Here is a 10,959-nt window from a genome sequence, read left to right on the forward strand (position 1 = left end):
GAGGTTCAGCAAGTTTAGGTTATTTGGCCAAGGATATTTAGCTAATGAAGAGGCAGAACCAGGATCAAAATCCAAACTTGTCTCAGACCTGTCTCGCCAGGAGTTGAATCACCACCAAACAGTAGTTTCCCATTGGTCAGCTGCCTTCAGTGACTCTGCTCAGCCCTGCAAGTCAGTTCCTTGTAGCAACTACTATACCTTCCTCTACTCCCCGATCACTCTCAACAGAAGCCTGACATCTTTACAGAGAGTCAAGGCCGTGAGGCAGGAAGTTCTGGCTCCCTCCCTCCTGCCAGCACCTCCCTGCATCAGTTATGCTGTCTCCTGAGTCTCTGCTGTCCTAAACACCCTGCTGGCGTTTTCCTCTCAGTGTACATGCATAAAATCCACTCTACAAGTAACCTTACCTTGAGACTTTATATTATACGGTTTAAATATTATTTTACAAGGAACATCTATTCCCTTTATAATTTTTTTTAAAGTTTTTTTTTTTTTCAGCCAGGTGCGGTGGCTCACACCTGTAATCCCAGCACTTTGGGAGGCCGAGGTGGGCAGATCACAAGGTCAGGAGTTTGAGACCAGCCTGACCAATATGGTGAAACCCCGTCTCTACTAAAAATAGAAAAAAAATTAGCCGGGTGTGGTGGCACACGCCTGTAATTCCAGCTACTCAGGAGGCTGAGGCAGGAGAATTGCTTGAACCCAGGAGGCGGAGGTTGCAGTGAGCTGAGATCATGCCACTGCATTCCAGCCTGGGCGACAGAGGGAGACTCTCAAAAAATAAAAAATTAAAAAATATATATATATATTTTTATTTATTTTAAACAAAGTCTGTGCTCTGTCACCCAGGCTGGGGTGCAGTGGTGTGATCATAGCTCACTGTAGCCTCAACCTCCTAGCCTAAAGGATCCTCCTGCCTCAGCCTCCTGCATAGCTGGGACTAAGGCACACACTACCACGCCCAGCTAATTTTTTTTTTTTTTTTTTGAGATGGAGTCTGTCGCACAGGCTGGAGTGCAGTGGCACTGTCTTGGCTCACTGCAACCTCTGCCCCCCAGGCTCAAGCAGTTCTCATGCCTCAGCCTCGCAAGTAGCTGGGACTATAGGTATGTACCACCATGCCTGGCTAATTTTTAATTTTTTTTATAGATATGCGGTCTATGTTTCCCAGGCTGGTCTTGAACTCCTGGGCTCAAGTGATCCTCCCACCTCGGCCTCCCAAAGTGCTGGGATTATAGGTGTGAGCCACCGTGCCTGGCCTATATAGTTTTAAAAGTTAGATTTGTAATAAAAATTGGTAGGGTCCTGCCCTACCCCTCTGCACTCTTGAGGTCTACTCCCAGAAGTAATCAATTTAACTTCTTTAGCTAGCTCTTCCTGTGCTTACTTCCTTATTCCCAAAGAATGAACTTATATGGCTATTTCTTAATTTTTCCATTTTAGCCATTATCTATACTGTTTACTATAGAATATTATAATTTAGTTTTTTTTTTGTTTTCGAGGCAGAGTTTCGCTCTTGTTGCCCAGGCTAGAGTGCAATGGCACGATCTCTGCTCACTGCAACCTCCGCCTCCTGGGTTCAAGCGATTCTCCTGCCTTAGCCTCCCAAGTAGCTGGGATTACAGGCATGTGCCACCACACCCGTCTAATTTTTTTATTTTTGGTAGAGACGGTTTCATCATCTTGGCCAGGCTGGTCTTGAACTCCTGACCTCGTGATCTACCTGCCTCGGCCTCCTGAAGTGCTGGGATTACAACGCCTGACTAATTTTTATATTTTTTTTGTAGAGACGGGGTTTCGCCAGGTTACCTAGACTGGTCGTGAGCTCAAGCAATCTGCCCACCTCAGCCTCCCAAAGTGCTGGAATTATAGGCCTGAACCACCACACCTAGCATTTTTTTTTTTTTTTTTTTTTTTGAGACGGAGTCTTGCTCTGTCACCCAGGCTGGAGTGCAGTGGCATGATCTTGGCTCACTGCAAGCTCCGCCTCCCGGGTTCACGCCATTCTCCTGCCTCAGCCTCCCGAGTAGCTGGGACTACAGGCGCCCGCCACCACGCCCGGCTAATTTTTTGGATTTTTAGTAGAGATGGGGTTTCACCGTGTTAGCCAGGATGGTCTGGATCTGACCTTGTGATCCGCCCGCCTCGGCCTCCCAAAGTGCTGGGATTACAGGCTTGAGCCACCACCTCCCAAAGTGCTGGGATTACAGGCTTGAGCCACCACGCCCGGCCCATTGTTTTTGTTTTTATTCTTTTACCATGAGAAATAGAAACCTCCTCTCATTGGTCAAATACAGTAGGTAACCTGTTAACCTCACGTGATGGCCTCCTGAGCTTGCTCCAATGTGGATTGGTTGTCCTCGACCTGCTGCAAAGTTTTAGTTCTGGCCCTTCCCTGCACCTTCACCCTGGGACTCACTTATTTCCTGGATGCCATATTTTGGTTTTCCTTTGTTTCATCCTCTGTTTTAGTAGAATTTGTCATCCAGTAGCTTTCTGAGAAAGGAGCACAGCAAGTTTATTTTTTGTGTGTCTGAAAACATCTTGGCAGAGTATAGAATTCTACATTTAAAATAATGTTTCTTTAGAATTTTGAAGGCATTGCCTCATTGTTTTCAGTTTTCTTCTTGTTTGTTTTTTCTTTTTCTCAATGTTTCAGCATCCAGAGGAATGCTTGTTGGTGTTGAGACAGGGTCTCACTTTGTCACCCAGGCTGCAATGCAGTGGCAGGAACACGGCTCAGGCTGACTGCCGCCGCTACCTCTGAGGCTCAAGCAGTCCTCTTGCCTCACTATCTCAACTGTCTAGGACTACAGGTGCATGCCACAACACCCATCTGGTTTTTGTATTTTTTGTAGAGATGGTGGTTTTTGTATTTTTTGTAGAGATGGTGTTTCACCACGTTGCCCAGGCTGGTCTGGAACTCCTGACCCTAAGTGATCTGCCCACCTCGGCCTCCCAAAGTGCTGAGATTACAGGCATGAGCCACCTTGCCCATGGCCTGTATTCTAGTTTTCAGGGTGTATTATTAAGAAACCAGGGCTGGGTGTGATAGCTCATGCTTGTAATCCCAGCACTTTGGGAGGCCAAGGCGGGAGGATAACTTGAGCCCAGGAGTTCAAGACCAGTCTGGGGAACATGGCAAGACCCCATTCCCCCACATTTTCTTAATTAAAAACAAAAAAACAAAAAAAGTTAGCTGGCTGTGGTGCAGTGCACCTATAGTTCTAGCTACTCATGAGGCTGAGGTGGGAGTATCACTTGAGCTAAGGGGTCCAGGCTGCAATGAGCAGTGATCACGTTACTGTACTCTAGCCTGGGCAACAGAGCAAGACTGTCCCAAAAAACAAACAAAAAAAGCATCCTGTTTTTGTATCATGGGTGCAATATCTTCTATTTCTTTTCTTTTTTTTTTTTTTTTTTTTTGATACAGAGTCTTTTTCTGTCACCCAGGCTGGAGTGCAGTGGCATGATCTCAGCTTACTGCAACCTCTGCCTCCGGGGTTCAAGCAATTCTCCTGCCTCAGCCTCCCGAGTAGCTGGGACTACAGGCATGTGCCACCACGCCCAGCTAATTTTTGTATTTTTAGTATAGACAGGGTTTCACCATCTTGGCCAAGTTGGTCTTGAACTCCTGTCCTCATGATCTACCTGCCTCAACCTCCCAAAGTGCTGGGATTACAGGTGTGAACCACCACGCCCAGCCAATCTTATATTTCTAAGTATAGTCATTGCAGTTTTAGGATATTTTCTTCCGGTCCCTTCATTATCTGTTACTCTCTGGGCTCCTCCTCTTTTGGCTTCTTTTATGTTGGAGGCTGCCTTCAACTCTCAGATGATCCTTGGCTGTCTGTCCCCACTTAAGAGAGAGCTGCCTGGAAACTCCATGGGTGGGGTGAGCAGAGACCGTCATATGTGGGCCTCCCTGGGAGTAAGGAGGGAGGGAGCAGCATTTGAGTTCCTGTTGGCTTCTTCTCCTGAGTCAGTCATTATCTCCAACAAGGAATTTTCCAATCTTCCTTCCCCTGCTTTCAGAGGCCCAAGGACTTTTCTGTTTTTGAGCCTTTTTGGGATCTAAGACTGATTATTTTGTTCTTTGTTGGCTCTTCACTCCCTACATTATGAGTAGAATGGAAAAATCCCCAAACTTAAGTCAGTTATCCTGCACATCTGGCTTTCTGCACATCCTGTGCAGAAATCCTGTGTCAGTTATCTGCACATCTGTATCAAACTAAATCAGTCTCTCATTTGCTGTAGTCTTCTCTTTGTCCTTGTGCTTTTTCATGTCTTATTATTTATTTATTTATTTGTTTATTTATTTATTTTTGAGACGGAGTCTCGCTCTGTCACCCAGGCTGGAGTGCAGTGGTACGATCTCGGCTCACTGCAAGCTCCGCCTCCCGGGTTCACGCTATTCTCCTGCCTCAGCCTCTTGAGTAGCTGGGACTACAGGCGCCTGCCACCACGCCTGGCTAATTTTTTGTATTTTTAGTAGAGACGGGGTTTCACTGTGTTAGCCAGGATGGTCTCGATCTCCTGACCTCATGATCCACCCGCCTCGGCCTCCCAAAGTGCTGGGATTACAGGCATGAGCCACCGCGCCCGGCTATTTTTTATTTTTCAGACAGGGTCACTTTTTTGCCCAGGCTGCAGCGCAGTTGGGCCATCATGGCTCACTGCAGTCTTGGCCTCCCAGGCTCAGGTGATCCTCCTACCTTAGCCTCCCCAGTAGCTGGGACTACAGGCACGTGCCACCATGCCTGCCCTTTTTCACTTCTTTACTCTTATTTTGACGTGATTTCTAGGGTGAGCAGAGATAAGCTCAATTCACCACATATAACCAGAAGCTCTTTACTTCTTTAAGATCAATTACCTAATTCCTCTAACTCACAAGGTGGTCGTGAAAATTAAAGGTGGCGGGCAACCCGCTTGGGTCCCCTACTGTAGAAGCTTTGTTCTTTCGCTCTTTGCAATAAATCTTGCTGCTGCTCACTCTTTGGGTCCACACTGCCTTTATGAGGTGTAACACTCACCACGAAGGTCTGCAGCTTCACTCCTGAAGCCAGCGAGACCACGAACCCACCGGGAGGAACGAACAACTCCAGATGCGCCGCCTTAAGAGCTGTAACACTCACCGCGAAGGTCCGTGGCCTCACTCCTGAGCCCCCAAGACCACGAACCCACCAGAAGGAAGAAACTCCAAACACATCCGAACATCAGAAGGAACAAACTCTGGACACGCTGACTTTAAGAACTGTAACACTCACCGCGAAGGTCTGCGGCTTCATTCTTGAAGTCAGTGAGACCAAGAACCCACCAATTCCGGACACAATGCCATTCTCCTGCCTCAGCCTCCCGAGTAGCTGGGACTACAGGTGGCCGCCACCACGCCTGGCTAATTTTTTGTATTTTTAGTAGAGACAGGGTTTCACTGTGTTAGCCAGGATGATCTCCATCTCCTGACCTCGTGATCCGCCCGCCTTGGCCTCCCAAAGTGCTAGGATTACAGACGTGAGCCACTGCGCCCAGCCCAGCTTAGCTTTTTAACAGCTTAGTTCTTTCATCTTTGTTTGAATACAAAGGCCAAGGAAAATAGTCTACATGTTATTTTCAGGAAAATTTTCTGTATAAATTATTGTTATTGAAGCATTAATTTTCTATTTCATGATCAGGTTACATGCCTTGGAAAGGATGTAGTATATGATGAAATTGCCCAAATCATTTGAATGATAATAAAAGTTTAAAAAAAAAAAAGAAAAAAATTAAAGGTGGCTGTGTGTAACAAGATGTTGAAAGGTTTTCCTGGTTGTGTTGGAGTTTGAGCTGAGTCTTAAGGACAGAAGTGTACACAGGTACCCCCACATTGTAGAAAAATACTTTTCCAGCCACGCAAAAGACAGCACAATTCCTCCAGCTCCCATGGCCCCCACTGCCACCTGCAGCCTCTATGAGATGACACATTTGACACAGGAAAGAGAGCACGCTCATGGAGATAGATCTGTTGTTGATTGCTGATCTCTCTGGAGTCCTTTGGTATTCCCTGTTTCTTGTTCTTTAGGGGCGAGGGGAGGACGCAGACCAAGGTAGGACAGTACCAAGAGACTGGGAGTGCCTGTAAGAAACAGATGGGCATCTGAGTCCTTGGCTGGATGTTTCCTGGGTGGCAGAACTCCTGACCCAGTGTTGTCAAAGACCACAAGCAAGTCACTGAGAGAGAGTTCTGGAAGAGCCTGACATGAATTTACTGGTATTTGGGAGATATAAATGAACATAGAGACCAATGTCTGCTGAATGGGACATGTGGGAGGTTGGCTGGAGCCCAGACCTGGAATGGTGGCACTAGTGGGTAGACTTTATTTCAGCACCTGGCATGCTAAGAATGTGGGAGTTTCCCACGGACCAAGAGGAAAGCATGGAAAGTACCCAAGCTTGAGCCATCCAGATAGAGCCTGCCCAAAAGGAGTTCCTGAAGGGCAAGAAGAGCCCAATGGTAAGATGCCATGGGGCAAAAGTGCAGGGCACTGTGCAAGAGGTCACCTGGAGAGTGCACTGCAGATGCCAGAGAAAAGGGCAGTGGAGAGGTCCTGTAAGTCTCCCAGGGACCTTCAAATATGCTCCACCCAAGAGAAAGCGAGCATTTAGGAACCTGTCACACAGAGGGCTCTGACAGCCCCTGTCATGTAAAACTTGACTCCTTTCCTTCCTCGCACCATCCCAACTCTGGAGAAGCCAGAGGCAGGAAGGGAAGGGAGGGTGAAAGAAGAGCAACAGGCCGCGTGCGGTGGCTCATGCCTGTAATCCCAACACTTTGGGAGGCCGAGGCGGGCAGATCATCTGAGGTCAGGAGTTTGAGACCAGCCTGGCCAACATGGTGAAACTGTCTCTACTAAACATATAAAAATTAGCCAGGCGTGGTGGCGGGCGCCTGTAATCCCAGCTACTGGGGAGGCTGAGGCAGGAGAATTGCTTGAACCTGGGAAGCGGAGGTTGCACTGAGCTGAGATCACACCATTGCACTCCAACGTGGGCAACAAGAGTGAAACTCCATCGCTAAATAAATAAATAAATAAATAAATATAAAAATAGGGTAGATGTGGTGGCTCATCTCTACCAATAATAAAAAAATTAGCTGGGCGTGGTGGTGCATGCCTGTAGTCCCAGCTATTCGGGAGGCTGAAGTGGGAGGATCACATGAGCCCAGGAGCTCAAGGCTGCAGTAAGCCGAGATTGTACCACTGCGCTCCAGCCTGGGTAGCAGAGTGAGACCCTCTCTCAAAAAAAAAAAGCCAGGCATGGTGGCTCACGCCTGTAATCCCGGCACTTTGGGTGGCCGAGGTAGGCAGATCACGAGGTCAGGAGTTCGAGACCAGCCTGGCCAGTATGGTAAACTCCGTCTCTACTAAAAACACACATAAAAAATTAGCCGGGTGTGGTAGTGGGCACCTGTAATCCCAGCTACTCGGGAGGCTGAGGCAGGAGAATCGCTTGAACCTGAGAGGTGGAGGTTGCAGTGAGCTGAGACTGTGCCATTGCACTCCAGCCTGGGTGACAGAGCGAGACTCAGTCTCAAAAAAAAATTATAATAATAATCAAGAATGAGGATAGGAGTAGTATAGGACAGAGTGGGGTGAGGCAGAAGATGGCTGCAACAAGGAGAGGTGGTGGGTGCTATTAACAGAAGGTGCCGCGCCATTAATCTGGGGGTATGTGTGTCTGTGTGTGCATCTCCAAAGATTCCTCCTACTAGCCAGGCGCAGTGGCTCACATCTGTAGCCCCAGCTACTTGGGAGGCTGAGGTGGGTGGATCGCTTGAGCCCAGGAAGTTGAGGCTGCAGTGAGCCGTGATTGCACCACTGTACTCCAGCCTGGGTGACAGAGCAAGACCTTGTTTAGAAAAAAAAAAAAAAAGTGTGTGTGAGTGTGTGTGCATATATCTATCTATCTATCTATCTATATATATATATATATATATATATATATGCACACACACACATTCCTCTTACTCTTTCCTAGGCAATGGTTACCACAATTCTGCTACTATCACCATTGATTTACTTTGCCTGCTCTTGAACTTTATTTATTATTTATTTTTATTTTATTTTATTTTTTTGAGACAGAGTCTTGCTCTGTCGCCCAGGCTGGAGTGCAGTGGCATGATCTCGGCTCACTGCAACTTCTGCCACCTGGATTCAAGCGATTCTCCTGCCTCAGCCTCCCAAGTAGCTGAGATTACAGGTGCGTGCCACCACGCCTGGCTAATTTTTGTTTTGTTTCAGGATCTTGGCCAGGCTGGTCTTGAACTTCTGACCTCGTGATCCACCTGTCTCAGCCTCCCAAAGTGCTGGGATTACAGGTGTGAGCCACCACGCCCAGCTTGAACTTTATATAAATGGAATCATACTATATATTTATAGTATATATATACATAAATAGAATCCTACTCTCTATGTGAAGTTCAAGAATTTTTTCTTTTTTTTTTTTTTTTTTGAATCGGAGTGTCACTCTTGTTGCCCAGGCTGCAGTGCAATGGCACAATCTTGGCTCACCACAACCTCTGCCTCCCGGGTTCAAGCGATTCTCCTACCTCAGCCTCCCGAGTAGCTGGGATTACAGGCATGCACCACTAAGCCTGGCTAATTTTGGTATTTTTAGTAGAGACAGAATTTCTCCATGTTGGTCAGGCTGGTCTTGAACTCCTGATCTCAGGTGATCCACCAGCCTTGGCCTCCCAAAATGCTGGGATTACAGGAGTGAGCCACTGCACCCGGCCCATTCCTGCTGATTTAAATATCCAGGTAAATGAATCTTCCAGGCCACTGGCCTCTCAGTCTCTTGATCTCCCCTCCTAGTCCATTCCTCTCTCCTGAATGCCTATTTCCTATCTTTTTGCTCCTCAAATTCCTAGTTTCTTCTTCATCCTCACTCTTAGAGAGTGATCTTGATTTTTTATTCCCACGAAGAGTTTGACAACACATGTTCTTGTTTCTTATACCACTGGACAACAGAAGCAACAAAGAGATATCCCACAGCTCCCCAGCTCCCTCGACCCATGCCCGCTCACTCTGCCTTCTCTCCCAATTATTATTCGGGAACTGTCCCTGCCCCTGTGTAAGGCAATTCCTCTGTTTGTGAACTTGACCCTCTCGCTCACCTTCTGAAGAACATGACTCCAGAAACTTTCCCTATCGCTCTGCTACAACTTCGGTTTTTCCTGTCTACAGGATCCTCCCCACCCGTGTACTGACATACAACTTCTTCATCTTCAAACAGTCCTTTCCTTGGGTCAGTAGAACCTGATGAGAAAAAAATGTAACCATTAAAAGAAATAGTCCTCTTGGTCACTCTTTTTCCTCTAGTTACCATCTTTTTTCTCCTTCCTTCCTTTGAAAGAGTTTTATAGTGACTTTTCTTTTTTCCTCCTCCATTCTTGTAAACCCATTCCATGAAGGCTTTTGTCCCCACCAGTCCATCAACTCTCTCCTCATCATGATCACCAGTGACCTCCATTTTGCCTTAATCCATTGGTCAATTCTCAGGTTTCATCCTATTTGATATTTTAGTGGCATCTGACTATCATTCTCTCTTCCTCTTTCTTGAGATACTTTTTAAATTTAGCTTGAAGGTTACAACACTCTCCTGGTTCCTTCCTTCCTCTTTGCTGTTCTTCTCATCTCCTTGACCTTTTAACTTCGGAGTTTCCCATGCCTCAATCCTCCCTTGGTGATCTCATCCATTCTGACCTGGGTTTTAAATACTATCTATAAGCTGATGACACCTACATTTGTATCTCCACTTGGATGTGTAATACCTCAACATGACTAAAACTGAGCTACCGACCTAACCCCTAAAACCTGCATCTCCTGTAGTCTTCTCAGCTCAAGAAATGGGGCAACATCATGCTTCTACTTCCTCAGCCTCCATGCTTTGGAGTCTTTTTCTTTCTTCCACACCCCACTTTCAACCCTTTTAAAACGTTTAAGTCAGGCCACCATGTCATCTGTCTCCTTTTGATGGCTTTCTAACCCACCGTGAGAAAATGCCAAAGACCTTCCCATAGCTTCCAAAGCATCCCATGACCCAATTCACTCCTCCCACCCCCTCTGGAACACACTCCCCTCCTGAGGACCTTGTACTTGTTCTTTCCTCCTGGAATGTTCTTGTCCCAGATAGCTGCATGGCTCACTCCCTCATCTCTTTCAGACCTTTACTTAACCACCATCTTCTCGAAAAGGCCTTTACTGTCCACCCTACCTAAAATTGCAACCCTCCCACACTTACTGTCATCTTTCCTTGCTTTTGTTTTTGTTTTTTTGAGACAGAGTCTTGCTCTGTCACCCAGGCTGGAGTGTGGTGGTGCGATCTCGGCTCAATGCAACTTCTGCCTCCCGGGTTCAAGCGATTCTCCTGCCTCAGCCTCCCAAGTAGCTGGGACTATAGGCGTGTGCCACCATGACCAGCTAATTTTTTGTATTTTTAGTAGAGACAGGGTTTCACCATGTTAGCCAGAATGGTCTTGATCTCCTGACCTCATGGTCCACCCGCCTCGGCCTCCCAAAGTGCTGGGATTACAGGCATGAGCCACTGCGCCCAGCCGCCTGCTTTGTTTTTTTTTTTAAATTGTTTTTGTTTTTAAATTAATACACTTTATTTTTTACAGCATTTTTAGGTTTACAGAAAAATTGAGCACAAAATGCGAGTTCCCACACATCCTCTCTCTCCAGTTTCCCCTATTATTATTATTATTTTGAGACAAGGTCTTGGTCTTTTGCCCAGGCTGGGGTGTAGTGGTGTGATTACAGCTCACTGCAACCTTGACCTCCAGGGCTCAGGTGATTCTCCCTCCTCAGCCTCCCAAGTAGCTGGGACCACAGGTGTGCACCACCATGCCACGCTACTTAAAAAAAAGTTTTTTTGTAGAGATGGGGTCTCTCCATGTTGCTCAGGTTACTCTATTATTTA

Source organism: Homo sapiens, chromosome 1, assembly GCF_000001405.40.
Source record: "Homo sapiens chromosome 1, GRCh38.p14 Primary Assembly".
NCBI classification, from domain to species: Eukaryota; Metazoa; Chordata; class Mammalia; order Primates; family Hominidae; genus Homo; species Homo sapiens.